The sequence below is a fragment of the Homo sapiens genome, chromosome 12 (assembly GCF_000001405.40).
Source record: "Homo sapiens chromosome 12, GRCh38.p14 Primary Assembly".
Lineage (NCBI taxonomy): Eukaryota > Metazoa > Chordata > Mammalia > Primates > Hominidae > Homo > Homo sapiens.
This window is the reverse complement of record NC_000012.12, coordinates 116926388-116953053: the sequence shown is the minus strand read 5'-3', so window position 1 is coordinate 116953053 and position 26666 is coordinate 116926388. Positions and strand designations below refer to the sequence as shown.

The following is a 26666-nucleotide window of genomic DNA, read 5'->3' as shown; positions in this document are numbered from 1 at the left end:
TTAAAAGATGCTTACAGGCCGGGTGCAGTGGCTCACGCCTGTAATCCCAGCACTTTGGGAGGCTGAGGTGGGCTGATTTCTTGAAGCCAGGGGTTTGAGACCAGCCTGGCCAACATGGTGAAACCCCATCTCTACTAAAAATACAAAAATTAGCTGGGTGTGGTGGCACACGCCCGTAGTCCCAGCTACTCGGGAGGCTGAAGCAGGAGAATCGCTTGAACCTGGGAGGTGGAGGTTGCAGTGAGCTGAGATCACACCACTGCACTCCAGCCTGGGCGACAGAGTGAGACTGTGTCTCAAAACAATAAAAATTTAAATGTAAATTTTAAAAAGATGCTTACAAATTGCTGGAAAGAAAATACAGTAGATGGCTGTAAAGTTAAATATTATTTCTAAGTAAAATAATAATATAAAACAAAAAATGTTTCAGTGAAACAGCAAGGCCACACGATGAGTTGCCCTGTCAGCTGTAGATGGTCCCGTCTCTAGGAGTTCCGAGAAGAATGGACGCTAGGCTACAGTGCTAGAGAAATCTCTGGGAGGAGACAGGACTGGAGTAGGCCTTAAAGAATGGGTTCTGGGTTTCCAGTTGATGAAAATGTTCTGGAATTAGATAGTGGTGTTGGTTGCACAACCTTGTAAATCTACTAAGAAAAAATCACTGAATTGTACACTTTGAAAGAGTGAATTTTATGGCATATGAATTATACAGTCGTGTCACTAAACGACAGGGTTACACTCAGAAAAATGCATCCTTTGGTGAATTTATCATTTGTGCAAACATCACAGAGTGTTCTTACACAAACCCAGGTGGCAGAGCCTACTATACACCTAGGGTACATGAATGGCCAATGTCATATATGGGGCCCATCATTGACTAAAACGCTGTTATGCAGCATATGACTGTATCTTAACTAAAAAAATGATGCAGTCAGAGGTAACTAAATAGAACAGTGTGGAAAAAACAAAGGTACACTTGAAAAGTGTAATAAGGAAAAAGGTAGCTTGGAAAGAAATGTCAAAGAGCTTTGAATGTCAGGAAAAGTTAACTAGAAATTATTTGTAAGACTGTAGAGTAAGCAAAGACTCACGGACAAAAGAGTGAACAATCAAATGCTTTGGAAAGAATGTTTCCCCACTGGAAAAACAAGCCTCAGGGAGACAGGCACCAGGTCCTGTTCACATGATGGGTATTTGAGTGTCAAATGCGTTTATCAACGAGTGACTATTTTCAGATTTCACTGGTTTTATGTGAAAAGGAGAGTAGGGAAGAACCATGACTGGGTCCATCATGAGGTTCACTGCAATAAATATCAGTCTGGGCCTATGCAGCATGGCCCCAAACTAGGAATATTTACATAGAGAGCTGAAAAGGTGAGAAGAAGAGATTCTGCTCTCCATCAATGATGTGAAATGTACTTAATAGGTGTAAATGCAAAAATGCTTCATAGTTTAGCTCTAGGTACATAAAACTAAGCCTCTGAACAGACTCCACTTGTGCAAAAGAAAGAGAAAAGGGAAGGAAAAAAGAAGAATAAGAGAAACACGAGGTAAGTACAAGAGAAAGAAGGGGTGAGTTGGCCACTGTCTCTTTAAGAAGCTCCTTGGAGATACATAACTGTAGAAAGCCTGGTGAATTCAACATTGATTGGGAATGAGGTAACCACAAACACCGCTGTCTCAAATGAAAAGGGATTCAAGATCTGACCCAGAAAACAAGCATCGTAACCACCAGATAAAATTTTAATGATAAACACAAGATGCTCTACATACAAGCAAGACTGAAGTCTCTCATGCTAAGCCATCAACGTAAGGTTTTCTTAGAAAGAGGAGCCACCAGGAGCCTCTCGACCCACAGATCAAGTTTCATCCTATCGATCCACAGAACGTGGCCATCGTGCTCTGTGCTGGCATAATCTGTAATGTTGAACAGACCCCGAGGGAACAGAGAGGCAGAGAGAGAAGGACTGGCATCTGGACTCGTAGGGGGCCTGCCCTTCGGGAGCTCCAGAGAAGAAATTCATAATTGGCTTTGAGAGTCAAGGCTCTCCTTTATTTTTAAGTTCTTTTGCGACTCTTTCAGTCCAGTCTCAGCCTTCTGTCCTCAAGTGTCTTCTGACACTCTAGGCAGAGATCCCTTTAAGCTGGAATGATCTAAGTACCTTCCGGAGTTCACACCAAACTGTAGCATCCGTGGGTAGAAAGGAGCTGCATATCAGTTGATCGCAGGCCCACATTTTAGCAACGAGCATCGATAACTTAATGGACAGAATCGCAAGTATCTGGACCATCAACCTTTCTAAAACTAGTTCTGCAGCACTCCCAAGAAGGGCTTTCACCTCTAAATCATAGCCAGTGAAACAGAAACTGAAGAAAAGCCTGCCTCCTGGGTACATCTTGTTTAAAGCAGAAATACTTTTTTTCATAGGCACTGCATGCCACAAAATATTAAAATAATCCGACTGTGTGGAATTTCTATTCAAAAGGTGCTCTTTAAGGAATGCTGCTTAAAGAAAGATTTTTCTTTAAAGAAAAGGACTCCTCTACTACTGAGTTTTAAAGTCCAAGGTTTGTTTTATTTTCCCATAGGCAGGAAGTTCCCTAAGGCGTCTCACTCCATAGCTGATCCAAACTAAGAAATTTAAGTGTTCTGCTTTCTACTTTATGGCATTAAGTATACAGTCTGAGGCTGTAGTTCATGACATCTTCCTAATCCAAAAAGAAAACTGATCTTATTGTAGAGTAAATAAATATATAAATGTACCTCTGTAACAAAGTAGGAAGACTTCATCAAAGTGGTTTTTGGGACAGAAGCTGAAGGAATTTACAGAAGCTAAAATTAAATGTGTTGGCCATGGAGAAAAAAAAAAACAATGTCAGGACAACTTAAGTAACAAATAGGTACTATATGGTGGGGAAGGAAGATTATGTGTGGCCAAAGCCCTTCTTCACAATAAGGGATTTAGAAAAAGAGAATGAGAACAGGGCCTGTCTGTGCCAACACTTATTATCTTTGCTTGACTTTTTTATGTCTTCATAAAATACAAACTGTTTGCCTTAATGAAAATCTCACATAACATGCCACAAGAGTGATTTAAAAGCTGGGAAAGACATATTGAGACAAATGGATCACAGATCCGCTCTACACCATGTGCTTCTCACCCTTGCTGCGCGCTCTCACGTCCTTGGGAACAGAATCACGGAGACTCTCCCTCTTCCACATGGGCTGTAACTGAGGGAGGTACATGCTCTCAAAGGAAGCTAAGGTCACTGGTACTCAGAGGGTGGTATGAGAAAAATGAAAGACCTTCAGATGCAGAGCACTCAGTGGAAACGGTTTGGCTTACCCCGCAATGACCACACCATCGTGAGAATGCACATCACACAAAACTGTGTCAGGAACATGCTCCAGCTCGCTCACGGCACCTTTGCGATTCTGCGTGAGGAAAAGGGGGATGCAGTTTAGACTGCTCTCGGGACAGCCCGAAAGCCAAGCATCGTGCTTTTTCACCTACTTTCCACAGCAATTCTCTACAGCATGGACAACAAGTGCATTCAAAGTTCCATGGGCATTCAAAAAGACAAAGATGATGACTAACATGCTAAGCTGTTAAGCATGGGCGAGTTACCATATATCCCAAAGGCACTGAACTCGAGGACACAGGACGTGTGAGACATTGCCCCATCCTCCAGGAGGTTACAGAATAGAAAGCAAATATGTGCTCACCAATAACTACCATCCACAATAGGCTGGCATGTATCTGCTGGGAGTGGCAAGTATCTAAAGAAACTTATAAAGTATGTGAAAAAGTTCCGTTCAGCAAAAAGAAAGTATTACATGATACCTTACCTGTTAATTCTTATAAGGACTCTCAGAATAAAATGCAAAATTATATACAAATAGATAAAGATCAGGATGAGGAAAAGGAGATGAGATGATACTATTTCTAACTGAGAGGCCAGAGGTTTCATGGAAATGGTATTTGAATGACAGTCTAGGCCAGGCACAGTGGCTCATGCCTGTAATCCCAGCACTTTGGGAGGCAGAGGCAGGAAGATCACTTGAGCTCAGAAGTTTTGAGACCAGCCTGTGCAACACAGGGAGACCCCATCTCTGCAAAAAATTTAAAAGACAGTCAGGTGTGGTGGCATGCACCTGTAGTCCCAACTATTTGAGAGGATGAGGCAGGAGGATCACTTGAGTCCAGGAACTTAAGGCTACAGTGAGTTATGATTGCAACACTGTACTTCAGCCTGGGCAAGAGAGTGAGAACCTATCTCTAAAAAAATAAAAAATTAAATTGAATTAAAATGAAGGGAATCTGAATGCACATAAAGTATTTACATGTGGGAGGTTGGGAAAAGTGAGATAGGCCACAAAGCAAGCATGAATAAAGGTATTCAAGAATACCATAATTTCAACTTTACCAGACTGGGACAAAGACTAGAAACAGTGTAAGTGCCCAGCACAGTTCTTAACATACAGCAAGTGTTCAATAAGTGGTAGCCATTATTATTATTATTTCTATTATTAGGAAAAAGATGACATCATTCCATTAAAATACACATTTATTAAGTACCTAGACTCTAGAAACTGAGCAAAGTAATTTGCATGATGGTCTTAACTTAATCCAAGGAATGAGTCTAAGGCTGAGAGATAAAACTAGACACATCCACGTGGAGCTGTCCTACAAGTGGAGATATGGGGAGGGAAGGCAAGGATCTGGGAGTCAGCTGTGTGAAGGCCGCAACCAAGGTTACAATAACAGAAAATCTCTTGTGAGGGAAAAAGTATTGAAAGAAAAATAGAGGGCCTAAGATGAAAACCTGCATTTATGCAAACACTAGGAAAAAAAACACTATGGCCACCACAATTAGTTTAGCAAATCATTTCCAGGTTGGCTCTGAAATGCAATTCCAGATAACTTCATGCATTTGCAGGCCATTCTCTTTGTGGAGGTACCTGAGAACCCTGGGGTCCCTTCTAGGGTCTCCCCAGACACTGACTTAAGAGGTACCAAACCAAATCGCCTGCCTAACCCATCCTGAAGTCGAGCACGCACAGCACAGAACCCTGCATCTGTGTGCAGAGGCCTATGCTCTCCTACAGCCAACCTCGCCTGAGCACTGAGCGTGGACCAGGCTCTGCAGGAGTGGCAGACACTTGATGACGATCATCCTCACCATGACGCCATGAGCAGTGCCACTCCTAGCCCCTACTCTAGAGATGAGAAAATGGAGGCAGACAAAAGTAAAGCAACTTGCCCCAACACTGCCTTTCATTTCTTTCTTTCTTTTCTTTTTTTTTTTTTTTTTTGAGACAGTCTCGCTCTGTCGCCCAGGCTGGAGTGCAATGGCGCAATCTTGGCTCACTGCAACCTCCACCTCCAGGGTTCAGGCGATTCTCCAATCTCAGCCTCCCAGTAGCTGGGACTACAGGTGTGTGCCACCACGCCCGGCTAATTTTCGTATTTTTAGTAGAGATGGGGTTTCACCATATTGGCCATGGAACTCCTAACCTCAAGTGATCCATCCGCCTCAGCCTCCCAAAGTGCTGGGATTACAGGAGTGACCCACGGTGCCGGGCCGCCTTTCATGTTTTGATAAGGCTTTCTTTCATTCCAGAATTTTGGTAAGAATCCCACCATTACATTTAATGAAAGATACATCATTTAAAATTTCACTCCTAGAATTCTCCTTGTTAACACTGTCAGGAAATGGACCTTACACGCTCCAAATAGAAGTCTCCCTCATGTTTGGTTCAGCCTGCAGTCCGCTCCAGTTCACTCAATCAACAGCCATGTAGTGAGTACTTACCTAACACATGACTTCCTGTTCATTAGAAATAAATACTAAATAGACATTCAGCTAGATTGTATATAACTTGTAAAGTGTTACTAAGTGCCAAATGCTAGGTGATGGGTCTTTAAAATATCGTCACTTCTGCCACCTCCAGGCCCAACAAGGACATACCTGTCCTCTTCCCTTGCTTTCTCTATCACCAAAGAGGAAGCAAAAAACACAGCTGCTGCTTTTCTCTACCACGGTCTGACATCTTCGAATTCAAGCCTGGGGATGCCAAATATCTCCAACTCTCCTGCTTGTAAATCTCAAAAGTATCTCTCCTTTCTGGAGAGAAAGGACCCCGTTAACATTCAGCTCTCAAGCTTTCCTTAAATCGCAGCCCCTCCCACCAGGGTTAGACCCTCTGCTTTCTGACCCCTTGTTTATCTGGGCAGCTTTCTTTGTCATACCTTTCTGCCTGTGTGCATCACATGGACCTACCCAGGCACACGGGCAAGAGGGACTGGGGGCTCCCTCCAGACGAGTTTATTACCGTAGGTGGATGGAAAAGGGCACTGTGGGGCCAGCGTGACCTGTCTTAGTGGTGGTGTCTTAACAGCCTAAGAAAGGATAGCCACACTAACTCTCAGAACAGTGGTTCTCGACTGGGAGGGGATTTTGATTCCCAGGGGACATCCAGCAATGTCTAGGGGCATTTCTAGTTGTCATGACTTGGGGGAGGAAGAGAATGCTACTGGCGTCTAATGGGGAGAGGCCAGAGATACTGCTCAACAGCCTGCAATGCACAGGACAGCCCCGCACAAAACGAATTAGCTGGCCCCAAATGTCACTAGTGCTGGGGTTGAGAACCCCTGAACTAGAGAGACACTGCTCTTATTGACTTTGCTAGAAACCGTGTGAGGTTGCCCAGATCAAGCGTATTGGTCACTAATCAGGTTAGGAGGTGAGTAGGGACAGACAGGCACATAGGCAATTTGTCATTATCAGTAATGCACAAAAGCTTGTTAATCTCAAAGTCTATTAGGATTGACCTTTATGGGAGTAAAGAGAATGGTTCCATCCCTTCTCTACCATTGAATCTCCAGCCTCCCAGGTGAGAAAGAAACACTGCCACCACACTGCTGTCTCGTCATGCCTCAAACAGCTTTATGTAACACGGCTCTTGACAGTTATCTCCTATGGAAACACTTCACTGTGCAAATTCTTAGCTGTGATCTAATATTTCCGTAGAGACTTTGAAGTGATAAATGTTATGGAAGCACGCCAATAGGTTATGTGAGGGAAGAGAAGACAGTGCTTAGAGATGTTTAATCATCTCCCTCTTACATTTACTAGAAATGACATTTTCAGCTCCTCTTTTGTATGCAGGTAGTGCTTTTGCTTTCTGGGTCCCTCCAGAGAGTCGGTGAAAGTCAAAGGGGCTGCACAGAGCACTCCTCTGACCACCCTAACAATCCGAGAGGAAGTGGCTGGCAACCCAATCTCACCCTTCCTCTCCTGCAGAATAAGAGGATGTTCCCAAATCTTGAGGCTGAAAACAGAGGCAGATCATCTAATGGTGAACAAAATGGGCAACAAGTCACCAACAGCTGAAGGGGAGGCTCAGTGTACCCCTCTCCCTTCGCTGTTGGCAATTAATCTCAGGCTATGAGTGAAAGCTTGGATTCCCATGTCCTTGCAGGCTATTCTTTCACAGGTAATGATATTGGCCACTGCCCACCTTCCAGTTGGTTCGTAACATGTGTTCCTTGGCTCGGCACTCTTGGAAGATGAGCTTCCAGCAAGAATAGTCAGAGATGCTGCTATCCGGAAGGTGCCCTTCCTGCTGGCACAGCCTGTACCACAGCACCTCATCCTCTGCAATCACCTTCCACGTCTTGCTCACCTAAAACAGCAGAAGTGACACAAATGTCAAATTCTGCAATTAGAGAAGCCCCTTGTCATCCAAAAATCAATCAACACCTATATTATTGCCCTGGGTTTATGGCAGTATAAAATGTCTCATTAACAAAACACTATGAGGTGGAAAAAAAAATACAAGCAAATGTTTCCAGTTTTATCTTTCAAGATTTCAAAATTGTTGTACCACCATGTAATATCACATTTTAGACTACTTGGTTATATTGTAATCTAACAAATAAGAGAAGAAAATACACAAATACATAAAATGCAAAAAATATAAACTTTTACATGGTAATTAGCTATACAATCATACAGAGCTTTTCAGAATGGAATCTCTTTACTTTTGACAAAAAGCATTTGTATTTCCACCTTACAGAATTGAAGATTGATGGCCTCCAAAATCAAAGGCTGTCATAAAATTACCTATAACCCAAACATCTGGTCAGGTAAAAAATTCAAATTTAAATTGCATGTGAGAATTTAGATTTTAAACATATGTATATATTTAATTAACAGAAAACTCAAGCCATTATCCAGGACTGTAAGATTAGATCTAGAAAAATTAATGTTATGTCTGGCCTGACTTTCAAATCCCAACAGTATCCAGAGGAAATGGCCATTTTAACTATTAGCATTTTGTTTTCCAACACTAATTTAGGGGAACAAAAGGTTTACTTAATCACAGGATCATGTGCAAAGTTGGCCAGACTGCAAAAGATGGACTCTGTTGGCAGATGAGAAACTGATCGAGCAGATCAGCGTGATCCCGGTCTGCACAGCATTCTGGGAATGCAGGATCAAGTGCCTGATGCTTGCCATCCATCCAAAAGTTGAGTCTCACTTCTAATGAAGAGTGGTAGCGGGTAGGTTACAGTACCCTGTACTCTTTAACACTCCCTTAGGGCCACTTCAAGACTCAAAGACAGAGACGGAAAGAAGGAAAATGAGAGAAAGTAGGAGACCAGATTCTTACTGCACAAAGGGCCTCAGCTGATAAAGCACTGACAGAGAGTTAGTTTGCAGGATGGCAGATTAAAGACCTCCAAAGACCTGCTCCTCCATAACAGCAGTAAGAATTCCACCAAAAATGATCGATCAACTTTTTCGGAGTCTGGAAATTAACAAAAGGATTGCAACATTCTGAGGAACATTTATCCAAGAAAAGTGGCTAAATCTCAGTAAGAACAGTGACGTCTAAGTTGTTTTAATGTGTGCTAATTCTGTTTCCTCTTCCAGCTCCAGGATTGCCTTAAAAATCAACAACCTCGTGAAGATAGCAGCTGTAAAAACCGGCAGCCTAGCAGCCATTAGAGAGGCCAGACAAGTTTAGAGGTCCCCAAAAATCAAATCCCCAGAGAACTGTCACCATTTGACCTGGCTGGCAGCTTGCCAGAAAGCTCTATTCTCAAGGCTTGTCTTTATCTGAGCTGGCTGAGCACTGTCTCTGTCCTATCTCCAGGGCATTTACCCAAAATAGTAAGTGGCAACTGCTTAACTCTACAGCTGCCTGAGGAGGCACTGCTAGCTGGGGCTGTTAGAGGCTGACCAAAAAGCTTGAAAGAAAAAGCTTGGAAATGGGATGTCCATAGGAGGCTCTGAAAGGCTCCAATATATTCCTGGGAGTCTGGAATGCCACGTGAATGTATAGGGCTATGTGTGTGCCCAGGAAAGACCAGAGAAGGCCCTAACCTCTCCCCTCTGGCTGACCCTGAGGCTCTGCACAAGCAGGAAGTGAAGGCTAAGGCAGAGCTGTAAGCTGCTAGAATGGTGAAGCAGTACCCCAATATACAGAGAGCACCTCAGCAAAGGCTGGGAGACTTACTGGTTCAGTGGATTTAAGGAAATCTCCATTTGATAACTAGCTAACCACTAAGCTAGCCAAGCAGAGACTTCAGGAGGTGCACATGACAAATAATACAAATTAGAGAATTATTCCAGAAAAGTCACTAAACAAACAGCAGCAACAACAAAAATAACAATAGCAATAACAGCAAATTCTGAAGAGGGAGAAAGATTCTATTTCCAGAGTTTCCATTATTTAAAATGTCCAGTTTTTAACAAAATTACAAAAGCATGCAAAGAAACAAGGAAGCAGGGCCCATACACAGGGGAAAAGGCAGTCAACAGAAGCTAACCCTGAGAAAGTCCAGAAGCTGGACTTACTAAACAGAGACTTTAAATCAGCTATTTCAAATATGTTCAAAATACTAAAAGAAAGCATGTCTAAAGAAATAAAAGAAAGTAGAAGAACAATGTCTTACCATATAGAAGATAATGATAAAGAGATAGAAATTATCTGTTAAAAAACTAGGGAGGCTGAGGTGGGTAGATCACCAGGTCAGGAGATTCAGACCATCCTGGTTAACACGATGAAACCCCATCTCTACTAAAAATACAAAAAATTATCCAGGCATGGTGGCACGCACCTGTAGTCCCAGCTACTCAGGAGGCTGATGCAGGAAAATCATTTGAACCCGGGAGGCAGAGGTTGCAGTGAGCCGAGATCACACCACTGCACTCTGGCCTGGGCAACAGAGTGAGACCCCGTCTCAAAAAAAAAAAAAAAAAAAAAAAAATAGAAGCTCTGGAGTTAAAAAGTACAGGAACTGAAATAAAAAATTCCCTAAAGGCGCTCAACAACAAGTTTGAGCTGGAAGAAAAATCAGCAAATTTGGCCAGGCGCAGTGGCTCACGCCTGTAATCCCTGCACTTTGGGAAGCTGAGGCAGGTGGATCACGAGGTCAGAAGTTCAAGACCAGCCTGGCCAACATGGTGAAACCCCATCTCGACTAAAAATATAAAAAACTAGCTGGACATGGTGGCGTGCACCTGTAATCCCAGCTACTCGGGAGGCTGAGGCAGGAGAATCACTTGAACCCAGGAGGCAGAGGTGGCAGTGAGCCAAGATCACGCCATTGCACTCCAGCCTGGGCAACAGCGCAAGACTCTGTCTCGGAAAAAAAAAAAAAAAATCAGGAAACTTAAAGCAAGTCAATTGAGATTATCTACTCTATGGGGGAAAAAAAAGAATAAAGGAAAAAAAAGAGTCTGTAATCCTAGCACCTTTGGAGGCCGAGGCAGGAGGATTGCTCAATGAGTTGAGGCCACACTGATGAACAGTGAGACCCCATCTCTACAAAAAAAAAAAAAATTAGCCAGATGTGATGGTGTGTGCCTGTAGTCCCAGCTACTTGTGAGACTGAGGCAGGAGGATTGCTTCAGTCCAGTAGTTCAAGGCTGCAGTGAGCTATTATTGCACCATTGCACTCCAGACTAGGTGACATAGTGAAATCTCATCTCTAAAAAACAAAAACAACAAAGCAAAACCAAAAAAATGAATAAAATGAACAGAGCCTCAGAGGCCTGTGGGATATGACCCAAGTGTACCAACATACACCAAATGAAGTTATCTCAGAGCAGAGTTTTTGGTGCACTACTGGAATTAGGTGGGTATTAATCCAAACTAGATTATTTTAAACTAAGATGTTCACTGTGATCCCTAGGCAACAACTAAGAAAATAACTCAAAAAACAGAGTAAAGAAATTTAAATAGCATACTAGACAATATCTATTTAACACAAAAGAAGGCAGTGATGAAGGGACAGAGGTATAAAAAAGACATAAGTCACACAGAAAGAGGCTAAAAGTTACAAAGTAAAATTAGTGGGAATCTAAGAACTCAGTTTATCTTGGTGTCAAAATCTGACTTTCTATCTCAAGCAAACTATACCAAAAATAATCATTACAATACCTTATTCAACCAAAAGCATATCAAAGCAATACTGACCAACCTAACACTGACGACACATTAAAGTTTTGGCCTCCTTAATTATGCTTCTGCTATATATGTGTGCACACAAGCTCCATGTGTGATAAGCAGTCACATCACCTCAGTCACTTTCCCTACAGGCATGGACACTTCGCATGGAATTCACAGCATCCGAAGTTAGATCACGTGGCATAAATAAGTGACAAAGCTGTCATTTTTCTGAATCTAAGTGTCACACTCTAATGCTGAGAGTGTCACGCTGTCTCAGTCTCCAGTGGTTTAGAACCTGAAGAATCAAGAGGGGCCTTGGAGATCAACTAGGTGTATCTCCTCATTGCAAGAAGGCACCCCACTGCATCCCTGGCCAATGGGGCCCAGGCAATCCTGCAATGCTTCCAGTGGAGAGCTGACCTCCCCCATCAGTCTGATCTAACAACAGGCAGTCTGAATGTTAGAAAGGGCTTCCTTCCACTGTCTAGAAAACTCATTCTACCTATGGCCCTGATTTTGCCCTTTTGAAGAAATCTATTTGCTCTTCCACCTGACAGTCCCTCAAATAGCTGAAGACAGCGATCATATTTCCCCTTAGTCATTTCTTCATTGCTCTAAATATTATCCATTTCCTTCCACTATTTTTCATATAGTTTCCATTCTGACACTCTCTCAATGCACCCTAAAACATTTGTACATCTAAAGTGTCCCTCTTCAAATGTGGTACTCAAGACTCAATAACACCTCAAATATGGGCTGTGCAGTCCCATGCACAGAAGGATCTTATCAGACACTGGTTTTCTGCTTTACTTGTAGCCATCAACATGGCTACTCAACTAATGGTCCACTAAAGCTCCTGCAGTCTGTTTAATTTATTAAATATTTAAGGGAAATGAAAAGGTATAAAGAATATTACAAACACCTGTGAACTCGCCACCCTGCAGACAAAAGAAAAGATTGCTAATCAGCTTAAAACTCCTGAGTATCTCTCACCGTTCACATTCTCTTCCTCGCAACAGTAACCCCAATTTGGTCCTCATGATTCTTCAGGGTTTTTTTTTTTAAACACAAACTGGAAGGAAAAAAAAAAAAAGCCCACCATCCTTCCACCACACTATTTTTTATACCTAAATTCTTAACTTTGTAAACTTTTGATCGATTTTAATCCCCACCTCAACGTCTGCCCCACCCCCCAGCATTTTAGCCTCCCCCAGATAATCTCTGAATCCCAATTCTGTCATCCATTGCATTAGCCACTTCTCCCATCCATAAGTCATCTGCAAAATATGGTCTGTGGGCCTTTGTGTCTTAATTATTTAAAAAAAAAAAAAGATAACCAGGATGGTGCTAAAGATAGGGCTCTAGCTCTGTGGCAAACCACTGGAGCCCACCCCCCAGGCTGACACGGATCCATTAAGCAGCCCACCCTGGGCATGGCCACAGCATCAGTTACAAATCCACTTAACCACACTGTCATCCCACACTTCTCCATCTTAGCCTTAAGGGCTCAGGAAAACAAGCTCTCATCTGATCACAAGTGGTCAGGCAATAAAGAACGGGATAACGACTCAGCAATGCTGGAGCTCCAGTTTGACTAGACAGAACACCATGGTTTTATTTTTGGCATGTCTGGTCCACAGCTGAGCCTACCCATGACACCCAGATGCTGTCTGTCTATCTGTCTGTGCCAGAGTGTCTGAGCACTGGGCAATCATGAAGCACAGATAGGGATAGACCAATGTCAGCTGTGAGTGAGCCAGGCCACAACCTGAGTAGTCCCAGAGCAGAGTATGTCCCCTAACCGAGCCCTGGAATTCAGGGTTAAATAAGGTGTAAGATAAAGGTAACATATAAAGACCTTTACAGGTTCTCAAAGGCAGAACGTGCTCAGGAAACACAGGGCAGCTTTACTCTGATCCTGGGCATACATATGCCTTTTTTGTAGAAACCATAACATTTTGTAAAAGTCATGAAATGTAACTACCGAACAAAAAAGACTCAAGAGTAATCAAGAGATCATATAAATGTAGCCATTCTTTAATTACATGGACCAAAAGCATATTCAGTAGAACAACACCTCCAGGTGTTAATAAGTTCCTTAGAAAAGGATTCCACGCTCAAATGAGCTTAGGAAACACTGCTTTAAACAAAACGAAGCAGAATTCCTCGCTGCAGAACTTGCGCTTTGAATAGCAGTGGCATGTGCTGCACATCTCTAAGAAGGGGATACACGTTGAGTATCCCTTATCCAAAATGCTTAAAACCAGGAGTATTTTGGATTTCAGACGTTTGCATTATTCTGACTGAGTCTCCCAAATCCCCAAATCCAAAATCCAAAATGCTCCAATGAGCACTGAAAAAGTTTCTAATTTTGGAGCATTTGGGATTTGGGATTTTTGGATTTGGGAAGTTCAACCTGTATAAGAAGCTGCATTTCCTAAACTCATTTGGTTCCTGACTTCTTTTTGCAACGAGTATCTCAAAAGCCCAGTGCTCTGCAGAAGTCACTTTAGAGAACACTGATTTGGGTTACCGGTCAATCAGTTAAGATATGTTTTGGGCACTAACCATGTACTGGGCACTCAGGCCCACAGTTCTCATCTACTTCCCACCCAACCTATGAAACCAAAACCTTTGGCATGTGACAGAGATCCCATGGATGCACCCAGACTGGGGCTACTTCTCCATGGCTGAGGAAGCTATAGGGAAATGCTGGGGTCCCTGCCGTTACACCCAGGTTAGATCACAAGACTGGCCCCAAATAGGGGAAGCAATCTTTTAAATTATGTGTTCAAAAATGAGCTACAAGCTTCGTTTTGTTGGATGGAGCCTCTGAATCATCCCCACTTTAGGAAAATCCAAAGGCAGTGCTCAATGATTACAAACTAGAAAATCTCAAACTAAACATTCTGTATGAGTTTTCATGAGGACTGTGCAAATCTCAACCACTTTAAAATGGAAACTTTTCAATGGGACTTTCAGGAAGTCTCAAATATGTCGGACCTTAAAGATGTTGGAAGCTGAAAGCAGCTTTTTCTAACAGTTTCAAGGAAAATGCCAAATCATTTTAAATAACACAATCTGAAATTTGTACAACAGGGTTACAGGATGAAAAACTGAGACCAAAAAATTGATGTTGTGGTGCATCATTCACATCACTAACCCCGGGTCACAGTGCTTATTCCGTAGAAAATAATATTCAAGCTAAAGTTTAAGTCCTGGATAACAAATAAAAAATCTCTTTGAGAGACTTAAAAAAGGCAGAGGTGAGAATTGCTTCCAAAAAGGGATCAGGATTGTATCCACAATTAGGTATTAAAAACAGAAATGTGTCAACAATTTCTTTAGCAAACTATAAAAGGAGGGTGCTTTTCTTTCTTCTTTTAAAGGAGAACAAAAATGACAGGTTTTAAAAATGACTTTTAATTCTGAAGGAAAAAAAATCAACAAGAAAAAGACCTAGTTAAACTTTCACAAGCAAATGTTAAAGGGTCCCACCAAGAGGAAATCTTGTTAATTGTTTTGATTCCTTAAGTTTTATGAAATCTAGCAAGTTTACAAGCCTGAATTTTCCAAAGGCCTAATGGTCTTTCTTTAATACACCAGAGTTGGAATGGCCTTGCTCAGTAAAGCCCCACCGAGTGAGCCTCAGCTGCAAGGACTTGCTAATAAAAGTGTCTCCAGCATTTTGCTTTATAGCACCACTGTGAATTGCAGCATTAAAAAAAAAAAAGCTGTTGGCTCAAAAATGAGCTTTATTAGCTCTGCCTGGATTAGGGTTACCAGTAAGGCTCACAGAGGGGAAGTCTCATTGTTCCCTTCACAGGTTCACACATCAAGTCTACTGTGGGAGGACACACCACATAGAGACAGCTCTCTATGCACTCACTGTCTCAGTTTCCTCTCTCTCCACTTGCTCCTGAGCCACTAGCTTTTGCCCCCAACACACCACTGACCCTGGTCAAGGTCACCAGTGACCTCCAACTTGCAAAACCCAATGGTCATTTCTCAGTCCTCCTCTTACTTGATGAACAACAGCGCTTAACACCTTTGATCACTTTCTCCTCCTGGAAAACATTTATCCCATGGTCCCAAGGAACGACACATCTGGGTTTTCTTCCTGCCTGGCAGGGAACTCCTTCCCGGTCCTCTGCCTGGCCCTGCTCATGTCCACGGCCTCTAATCCTTGTGGAGCACCAGGGCTCCATCCCTGAACCCCTCCTCTATTTACATTCACTTCCTTAATGTTCTCATTTGTCTCCTGGCCTTAAATACCATCAATGTGGCTGACAGCTTCCAAATTTCCATCTTCAGCCCAGAGCTCAACGAAGAGCTCATCCTCAACCTCACAACCAATGAGTGATCTTCCCCCATACCCACACATGCTCCTTCCATGGTCTGCTACTTGTCGGTAAACAGTGAACTCATTCCTCCAGTTGCTCAAGGCAAACACCATGGAGCCCTTGTTGACTCTCTTCCTTCTGTCCCCACATCCAGCCCATCCACAATCCTGACTCTGTCCACTTCTGCTGGTGCCATCCTGGCCCAAGCACCACATCCTCTTCTCTGGATTACTTCAGTGGCCTCCTAACTGGTCTCCTTGCTGCTGTCCTTGTCCCCCAACAACCGATTCTCCACACAGCAGCCCAAATGGTCCCTTTTTAAACGTAGGGCAGCCCTTGTCACCCCTCTGCTCAAAGCACTCCAAAGGCTTCCCATCTTATTCACAAAACTTCGAGTTCTTTTAATGGATTAAACGCTTATCACATCCTGAGTCCTCTCCTCCTCTTATCCTTCTGCTCACCACATCCCCGTATCAGTCTCCTATGGCTGCGCTAACAAACTACTACAAACTTAGCTGCTTAAAACAATACAGATTTATTCGCTTATAGTTCCGGAGACCAGAAGTGTAAAAGCAAGGTGTGGGCAGGGCTGCATTCCTTCCGGAGGCTTCAGAAAGAAAACAGTTTTCTTACCTTTTCCAGCTTCAAGCTACCTACATTCCTTGGTTTGTGGCCCCTTCCTCCACCTTCAAGGCCAGCAACACAGCATCTTCTCTCCTCCCTGACGTCCTGCCTCCCTCTTACAAGACTTGTAATGCACTGGACCCACCTGTATAATCCAAGATAATCACCCCATCTCTAGATCCTTAACCTAATCACATCGGCAAAGGGCGTTTTATCATGAAAGGTAACATACTGGTGGGATTCAGGGATTAGGACGTCAGCATATTTGGGAGGGCCATTATTCAGCGTACGACAACCACCCACTTGGACCTTCCTGCTGTTCTTCAAACACAACAGGCGCACCCTGCCTCAGATGAGCTTCAGCTGTGTCTGCCTCAAGTCCTTCGTCCTTGCTATTCCACTCTGCCAGAGATCTGCACAGTGTCCTTCACCCCTCCTTCAGGTCTTTGCTCAAAGCTCACCTTCTCTGCAAAGTCTTCCCTGGCCACTCAAAAGTGCAACCCCCATATCACCTCTACTGTCTTGTTCTTCTCCATAGCACTCACTGCCATCTGATAACTCTATTTAATCATGTCTTTATTGTATATACAATGGAAGCTCTCTGAGAAGCTGGTTTTTTATGTTTTATTCTCAGCTGTCTTCACTATATAGAACAGTACCTCGCACATACATAGTCAGCTCTATATAAATAACCAAATGAGATAAAAGTGTAAGTCCAACTTTTTTTTAAAAATTAGCATTGCTTTTAATTCTCAAAGGTCATAGACACAGCTCAGCTCCTGGCATGTGCTGCCCTCCGTAGGCTCCTTCTTATTCACATGTATTATTTTGCTTTATGCTTTTTTTTCTAGTAAACTTTTTAATTGTGGAAAAGTTCAAACACACAAGAGTAAAGTGAACAATATAAAGAACTCCAAAGTACCCACCACTTAGCTCAATGTTCATTTGCCATTCTTGTTTCATCTAGCTCCCAATCTGTTTTTTAGAGTGATTTTGCCTTTCCCTAAATTTGTGCTTAAAGGAGGCAGCCAAAACAATCACATGAATTAAAAGGAACTCCTGAGGGCACTTGGGTCTTGAGCATACAAGGAACCTTCCACAGAACTTCCTGATAAGAGAAGTCTGGCGGCAAGGGTGAAAGTGAAGAACTAAGGGAACCCTGCCAGCAACTACAGGTCTGCAGAATCACTTTTGCCAGGAAAATCAATTCAGCCTCACTTGGCTATGGATTCCTGACTCACACAGACTTCATTAAGATTATAGATCTTTAGCTATAAGCACCTGGATTTTAGTTTCTCCTACATGGACATAAAATCACATTTTCCTTGAAACTTGAAATACCATAATCTAATATGCTGGTCTTTGGTTCTAGAATTACTTATTTATTTTGCTGTCAACTACTTCTTGCTCACCAATATTATCATAAATTTCAAGTTTTTAACCTCTGCATCTTCCCTCTTTTTCTTTATTACTTTGTTTATGCACGTTTTTCTATCTTTTACTTGATAAACATGACATCATTACTTATGCAGCTAAATTCCTAAAATTACATATTAGGAAATACAAAGCACTAAAATATACATTAAAAAACTGAAAACAAAATTATGGAGTTGGAGAACAGATCAGTGGTTGCCAGGGGTTAGAGATGGAGCTGGGGGTGAAAGGGTCGGGGAAGGACTTGAGGCCAGTGTGGCCGTCAAAGACTGTGAAAGAGTAGCACAAGAGATTCTCGTGATGAATGTTCTACATGTTGACTGCGGTGGTGGTCACACAAATCTACATCCATGTAAAGTTCCATAGATTCACAAATAAGTGCATGTAAAACTAGTGACATCAACAAGATTTGTGAATTGTGCCAATGTCAGGTCCTGGTTTGCTACTGTTCTGTAGTTATGCGGGATATTACCAATGGAGGAAACTGGGGGAAGGGTACACAGGAACTCTCTGTACTATTTTTTGCAACTTCCTATGAATTTATAATAATTTTTAAAGTTTAAAAAATGAATATTGGTAAATACCTAAAAGCCATCACTCCTCAGAATTATTCACACTGTAATATAATGGCAGACTTACTTTTCTCCTAAAAACCAATTTGTAATTTTGAAACCAACAACTGTATCATTGTTATCGACTAAAAAATTGTCTCCTTTAAATACCAGGAATCCTGTGGGCACAAAAAAAGATGAACATAAAATTATAAATAGCAAGATTACAAACCTGTTCAATGAACTGTCCAACAAGTAACTTTGCTTACTAAAAGCTACACTGTTTTCAAGATGTTTCGGCAAGAAACACTCCCACAGAGAGATTAAGTCCCTCGAGGGACAACTATTGAAAGGAAGGAGCTGGAGACCTCAGCATCAAAAGTACACACAGATCACAAACTAATGTAGCAGGACTTCAGTTTTCAAAACATAAAGCCTCAAAAGCAAAAAAAAGAGGAGGGGATATGGAAAGGAGGCAAAGTCAAAGCAAAATCAGTCTCCGGCATGGTTTGTGGGATAATTAAATCTCAAAGGCCTCCCAGTAACAGAGTTTCTTACTGTTAGTCAGTTACCAATTTGGCATAAAGATCTAAGCAAACAGGTTTTCTCCAAGGGCATACATTTAGTTCATGGTGCCAATTCCACATAACTGGCCCAATTTCACTAAAATCCCAAGGCACCTAGATTAAAAGAGAGATGGAGAGAGAGAAAAAAAGCAAGCCCCTCTAAAATAAAATCATAAAGCAGCAGGACATTCCACAGAAGGATTTCCTCCCTGTTTCAAAATAAAAACACCCCAAGAAACAAATGAAAGTGCTACTTATTTTTATTACTTTGTGGTTTTAATTTTAATGATTGATGAAACAAAGCCAATTCTACAAACTACTGGCCATCTATTGTCATTCTCATGTAAGAGCTCCATAAAACTCCTGACTTCACAGATCACAGCTAACTTAGTCACTGTACGCTAACGGGGTTCTGTTTAAGAATATTTTCTATTCTTATATATGTGCTCTAACAACTGGGTTAACAACAACAACAAAAAGCCAAATCCAACTGGCCATAGAGGGAAGAATTCTGGTGGACAATTGGACTACTGTGTTGCAAATTAAACTGTTCACACCTGCAGAATAATATCACCAGCATAACCAATCTACCCTGTAATGCAGCCCCATTGTACCAAAAGGGGATCTCTTCTTCCACTAGATTCTATCTTTCTCTGATAAACTCTTTGGATGAGAAAACCAGCAGCAGATGTGAAAGCCACATGGCTCTCTACAAAGCAGGGGAGCAAAAAGCAATGTTAAAAGAAATGATTTCTTAAACAGCAGCTCGCTATCAAGAATGAAGATTTTATCATCTAATGCTGACTTTGTGTAAAGCAGCTAGCTATTAGACCCTGTTCCAAGACTTCGGCTAACAGCATCAGGCTGAAATCCAGGAATTGGCCTCATTTAGCTACACTCTTGTTTTCAACTCTTGGGAGCAGGCCAATGTGTAAAGTTAGAATATAACAAATCAAATTTCCAAGGGGAAAGAAAACAATATAGGTACTCATGCTTAATGCAACTCATAGGCTCTGAGCACAGTTTACACTTCAGCACATTTTTTTTAAGTGAATTTTAGCCTTTAAATAATTTCCATCATTTCCTAAAGACACACACTCCGCATCAAAAAATATCTGCCAATGCCCCCACTTAAGCAATACTAACAACAATAATCAAGAATATTGAAAATTCTTTCAAATTCATATTCAAGTAGAAAAACGATTAAGCAAAATGCTTCACAAAGAAAGATTAGAACGGCTGGGCACAGTGGCTCACGCCTGTAATCCCAGCACTTTGGGAGGCCGAGGCAGGTGGATCACGAGGTCAAGAGATGGAGACCATCCTGGCCAACATGGTGAAACCCCGTCTCTACTAAAAATACAAAAATTAGCTGGGCATGGTGGCGCACCTGTAGTCCCAGCTACTTGGGAGGCTGAGGCAGGAGAATAGCTTGAACCTGGGAGGCAGAGGTTGCAGTGAGCCGAGATCGCGCCACTGCACTCCAGCCTGGTGACAGCGAGACTCCGTCAAAGAAAAAGAAAGAGTAGAACACCATAAACTGTCTAAATGGTCCTGTATCATGTGTGATTTCACTGAACTGCCATGGAGGTAGCAAGCTCCAGAGTCTAAATTTGGGTACAGTTTTCACCACTCTCAAACCGCCTTCATATGCTGAACTTCATAGTCTTGCTGGTGCTTTGAATTTTATGTTCAGTTTTCCTACCAGTGAATTTTGCAAACCCTTGCTCTTGAAGCTGTAAACACCTGTGTAAAATGCAGTATAGAATCCAGGGATGAAAATGCTAACCATTAAACAAACTAATTTTTTGGCAGTTATGGAGAATGGATACTCCAGTGTCTCCTAGAGAATACAGTTGTCCATCAAAGGCCAAATGGTTAGCAATCATACACCCATTTAACTTACGAAAAATCAACAGAAATCTATAAATGTAATACAATGCATTAACAGAATGAAGGAGAAAAACGATGTGATCACCTCAGGTGCAGAAAAAGCATCTGACAAAATTCAAGATCCTTTCATGATAAAAACTCTTAATAAATGAGGTATAGAAGAAATGTACTTTAACACAATAAAGGCCACATGTGACAAAACCAAAGCTAAAGTCATACTTAGTAAAAAGTTGAAAGCTTTTCTTCAGGAATAAGACAAGGATGCACACTCTCACCATTTCCATTCAACATAGTACTAGAAGTCTTAGTCACAGCAATTAGGCAACAGAAAGAAATAAAAGGCATCCAAGCAGAAAGGAGGAAGTTAATCTGTTCCTGTTTACAGACAATATAAACATAAACATAGGAAACCCTAAATACTCCACCAAGAAACTAATAAACAAATTCAGTTATGGGTACAAAATCAATATACAAAAATCAGTAGAGTTTCTATATACTAACAACAAGCTATCTGTAAAAGAAATCAAGAAAATAACCCCATTCACAATAGCCACACCAAAAATAAATACTTAGGAACAAATTCAACCAAGGAAGCTAAAGACCAGTATGCTGAAAACTATAAAACACTAAGGAGAAAACGGATGATACAAATAAATAGAAAGATATTCCATGTTCATGGATTGGAAGAATATTATCAAAATGTCCATACTACTCAAAGTGAGTGAAATGCAATCTCTATAAAAATTCCAAAGACATTTTCACAGATACAGGAAAAAAAAAAGATAAAATTTGCATAAAAACACAAAACACTGCAAATAGCCAAAGCAATCCTGAGCAAAAAGAACAATGCTGGAGGCATCACAATACCTCATTTCAAAATATACTACAAAGCTATAGCAATGTACACAGCATGTCACTGGCATAAAAACAGATATATAGACCAGTAAAACAGAACTGAGAGCCCAGAAATAAGCCTGTGCATTTACAGTCAACTGATTTTCAATGAAGGTGCTAACAACACACAATGGGGAAAAAAGTCTCCAATAAATGGTGTTGTGAGAACTGGATATCCACATACAGAAGAATGAAATTAGATCCCATCTCACACTATTATAAAGAAGTGAACTCTTACTTGAAGCCAGGAGTTCGAGACTAGCCTGGGTAACAAAGCAAGACCCTGTCCTTACAAAAAATTTAAAAGTTAGCTGGGCATGTTGGCGTGAGCCTATAGTCCCAGCTACTCGGGAGGTTGAGGTGGGAGAATCACGTGAGCCCAAAAGTTTGAGGCTACAGTGAGCTACGATTGTACCACTGCATGCCAGCCTGGGCAACAGAGTGAGGCTCTGTCTCAATAAAAAAAATAAAAATAAGTTCAAAACGGATTAAAATCTTAAACATAAGACTTGAAACTGTAAAACTATGGGAAAGAAACTTAGGGGAAAAACTCCATGACACTGGTATAGGTAATGATTTTTTGGATATGACCCCAAAAGAACAGGCAACAAAAACAGACAAATGGGATTACATCAAACTAAAAAGCTTTTGTACAGCAAAGGAAACAATCAACAGAATACAGAGACAACCTATAAAAGAGAAAAAATATTTCCAAACCATATATCTCATAAGCAGTTAATATCCAAAATATTACATAAGGAACTCAAACAACTCAATAGCAAGAAGACAAAAAACCCAATTTAAAAATGAGCAAAGGACCTGAATAGACATTTCTCAAAAGAAGACATACAAATGGCCAATAGGTATATTTAAAAATGCTCAACAATACTAATCATCAGAGAAATGCAAATTAAACTACACCTGTTAGAATGGCTATTACCAAAAAGACAAAACAAGTGCTGGCAAAGACATGGAGAGAAGGGAACCCTTGCACACTGTTAGTGGGAATGGAAATTAGCACAGCCATTAAGGAAACAGGTTCCTTAGAATATTAAAAATATAACTACCATATGATTCAGCAATTCTGGTTGCTGGGTATACATCCAAAGGAAGTGAAATCAGTTTGTCAAAGTGATCTCTGTACTGCCAGGCTCATTGCAACATTATTCACAACAGCCAAGATACAGAATCAACAGATAAATGATACATAATGTGGCATGTATACACAATGGAATACTATTCAGCCTTTAGAAAAAAAAAGAAGGAAATCATGTCATTTACAACAACATGGTGGATGAACCTAGAGGGCATTATGTTAAGTGAAATAAGCCAGCCACAGAAAGACAAATATTGCATGATCTCACTTAAATGTAGAATCTAAAAAAGTTGAGCTCATAGAAGTAGAGAGTAGAATGGCGGTTACCAGTGGCTGGCGGGGCAGGATGGGACACTGGAAAGATGTCAAAGGATACAAAATTTCAGTTAGATGAGAGAAATAAGTTCAGAGCTCTACTGTACAACACAGTGACTTCAGTTAATGATGTATACTTGAAAATCACTAAGAGATAGATTTTAAGTGTTCTCACCACAGAAAATAAGTATGTGAGGTAATACATGTTAGTTACCTCAACTGAGCCATTCCACAATGCATAGATATTTCAAAAATCATGTTATACCTGATACATATATATAACTTTATTTGTCCATTTAAAAAAATAAAATGAAATTTTTAAAAAAAGAAAAATCAGTCCAGGCCCAGTGGCTCATGCCTGTAATCCCAGCACTTTGGGAGGCTGAGGTGGGTGGATTACTTGAGGTCAGGAGTTCAAGACCAGCCTGGCCAACATGACAAAATCGTGTCTCTACTAAAAATACAAAAATTAGCTGCATGTGGTGGCATGAGCCTGTAATCCCAGCTATGCGGGTGGCTGAGGCAAGAGAATAGCTTGAACCCAGGAGGCAGAGGTTGCAGGAAGCCGAGATCGCGCCACTGCACTCCAGCCTCGGTGACAGAGCAAGACTCTGTCTCAAAAAAAGAAAAGAAAAATCAATCACACACTCTTGGCCAAAAAGACGAGAACAAGAGAACGATGTTAATGGCATAAACCTTTGCCTCTCTCAAAGTGTGGCCAAAGCCACACTGGCATCCCCTGCTTAGAAAGCAGACCATCAATGGGGCCGGGCGCGGTGGCTCATGCCTGTAATCCCAGCACTTTGAGAGGCCAAGGCGGGCAGATCACCTGAGATCAGGAGTTTGAGACCAGGCTGGCCAGTGAAATCCCATCTCTACTAAAAATACAAAAATTAGCTGGGCATGGCAGCACATGCCCGCAGTCCCAGCTACTCGGGAGGCTGAGGCAGGAGAACTGCTTGGGCCTGGGAGGCAGAGGTTGCAGTGAGCCAAGATCGTCCCACTGCACTCCAGCCTGGGCGACAGAGCAAAACTCCATCTCAAAAAAAAAGAAAGTTGACTGTCAGGCCCCACCGCAGACTTCCTGAATCTGAATCTGCATTTTATCAAGATTCCCCCATGATTCCTAAACACAATGCAGTTTGGCCTAAATGATATCTCCCACCATTCCACTCCACAGGCATATGCCCCAGAGTAAGTGTGAGACGGGTGACATTGATCTGTAATTCCCTTGGTGGGTCTCAGTTCTCACCTGCCTTGCACCTCACTGAGTGAGATCCTAAAGTTTAAAGGGTAATTTGGACTATACACCTAAAACATGACTTCACCTAAAACATGTTCTGTCCTCGTGCTGACCCCCTCAGCTACCAACCTAATAACAGGCTCGATTTAACCAAGGGCTCACATCTTTGCATTAAAAACTGTGAGTGCATTAACAGCACAGACAAGCTCAATAAAGGCTTAGCACCAAGTTGTCGGCCACCAGCACACTGCCACAGGTCAGCCATAACTCAGACTGCAGGGAGAAAAGAGCTCTTGGGTCACAGAAAGATACACACCGAGTAGTGATGTGGAACATAATCCTCTAAGGTCAAGGTGGCTTTCCTTCAAGTAAACTTGCCATCCAATTCATTAATTCTGCAAAGTTTATAATTCTGTGAGTAAATTTCTATTACCCCGGAGAGTCCTATACCTTAATCACACATTTAGGAAAATCTGGAACATCTGTTGGTGACACCTTACCTGTGCACATCTTCCTAGTTCTTTCCTGTCCAGATACTGAAATATATTGATTGCCAATTCGTAAGGCAGTTGGATATCAAAGAAAGGCACATCATTCATTTCATTCTGAGGGGAAAAAAAAAAGAAAGAAGTTTATAATTTTTAGATATGAAAATAACTCAAATTTACAGGCCCTTTAAATGACCAGAGATATTCTTAGGTGGTAACAAGATAGATGAGGCTGTTTCCCAGGAGGGAGGCATCCATACTGTTTCACCAGGCAGTCATGGAACTATTTCAGAATCTGCCAGCCATCCTCCATTCTCTGACCCCCACACGCCTTCACTCCTTATATTCACTTAGGAAACCCATATGACCATTTCCCATGGTGCTTCACAAAGCAGCAGGGGTGCTATCTTCCAGCCTGGTATACGGCACAGGAATCACCGTCAAGGTCTGTGGAAAGCCTCCTGACCTCTAAGGAAAGGTGAGCAGCAGGCGGCCAAGAAAGTGAGGCTTGAAATCAGGGAGGCCACCCCTCTTCCCAGGACAACCACCACTACTCTCAACTAGGAAGGGAGTGAGCACACACAGCTAGAGAAAAGCTGCTCTAGGTCACTAAGGGGTTTTCACTGGGAAAAGAACAGGGCTATAAACATGAGCAAAAAGTAAACAAGTAGACACTGCTCTTGATGGAGATGAACGCCACCTCTCCTTGGCCACTGGAGAAGTGCAAGGTTTCCTAATGCTCTCAGGGGCTTACACTGGTTAACCTGAGCGGGCCAGTGCAAACAAAGCAGTTCTTCTTCGGTGTCATTTATTAATGCAGAGAAATCAGAGCTCGCCTGCCTTTGGATAAGCAATTAGAGATGAGGTAACGGGCTTTATTTGAGAGATAAGGCTGTCATTGACGATCCTGGTAGCACAAAGAAATATGAGTGTGAAACAGAAAAAAAGCCAAGTGTATGTATGTATGTACCCCTCTGCCTGTTCCCAATCCACCTGCCAAAGCTCACTTTGGTATGTGCTTCTGCAAAGCTAGGAAAAGCTTCACTCTGTGTCCCAACAGCACTCGCTTAATAAAATCCATTTTTAATAAGCTTTGGCTGACATCAGTGACTTACTGCTTACAAGCGAATTGTTAATTCACCACTCAAATACAGCGGTCTTATGTATTGCAAGGCTGCTGTCTCAAAACAAAAAAAAAATCACCTCAATGTTTTTAAGGGAGTCCAAGCACTGATTTAGACCCTACCAAGACTCACAGTAAAGATTTTTCTGGAATGAAGTTTCTGTTCATCTAGAAGTCTCGGGGCTAAAAGACAGCCCAGAGCATAAAAAGGAAATGTGGTATTTAACTGCAAAAACAGTGCAAAGGATGAAGGCCAAAAGGGATCTCTGGAGGAAAAAAAGAGTAAGAGCTGACAGCTCTCTGTGGGCAAAGAGAAGGAACAGAATGTTAAATCAAGAGAGAAATTTTGACCATACAGAAAAAAACAGGAAAAAAAATCTGCAATTGTAATTAGAAGGCTCAGGGGTGCTTGCCTAAAAAAATAATGGAAAGTCATTGGTTTAATGTCAGGCTCCATCCCCTCCCACAACTAATTGGCTTCACTCATCAAGAAAAAGAGGCATCACTTTCTCTCTCGGCCCAGATACAACTTGAGACTCCTGCAATCAACACTGGAGGGAGTCACTGCTTGCCAAGGAAAGCCACACTCACGAAGAAACTTTCATTTGCAATCGTGGTCTTCCTCCTGC

General features: G+C 41.8%; 1 protein-coding gene across 8 annotated transcripts in view; it reads right to left on the bottom strand.

Annotated features, from left to right (window-relative positions):
• Positions 1-26666, bottom strand: part of FBXW8 (F-box and WD repeat domain containing 8) — a 120199-nt gene that overhangs the window by 78095 nt on the left and 15438 nt on the right. For 7 of the 8 annotated variants that reach the window (XR_001748654.1, XR_007063065.1, XM_024448937.2 and 4 more), the window contains 3 exons: positions 24927-25031; positions 7526-7690; positions 3348-3436 (listed from right to left, as the gene is read on the bottom strand). Coding sequence is in view for 6 of the 8 variants with exons in the window: in XM_024448937.2 (XP_024304705.2) it covers positions 3348-3436; positions 7526-7690; positions 24927-25031 (359 nt within the window). In the remaining 2 variants the exon portion in view is untranslated. Of the gene's footprint in view, positions 1-3347; positions 3437-7525; positions 7691-24926; positions 25032-26666 lie in introns of those variants that run through there. The other variant, XM_047428699.1, reaches the window with a different exon arrangement.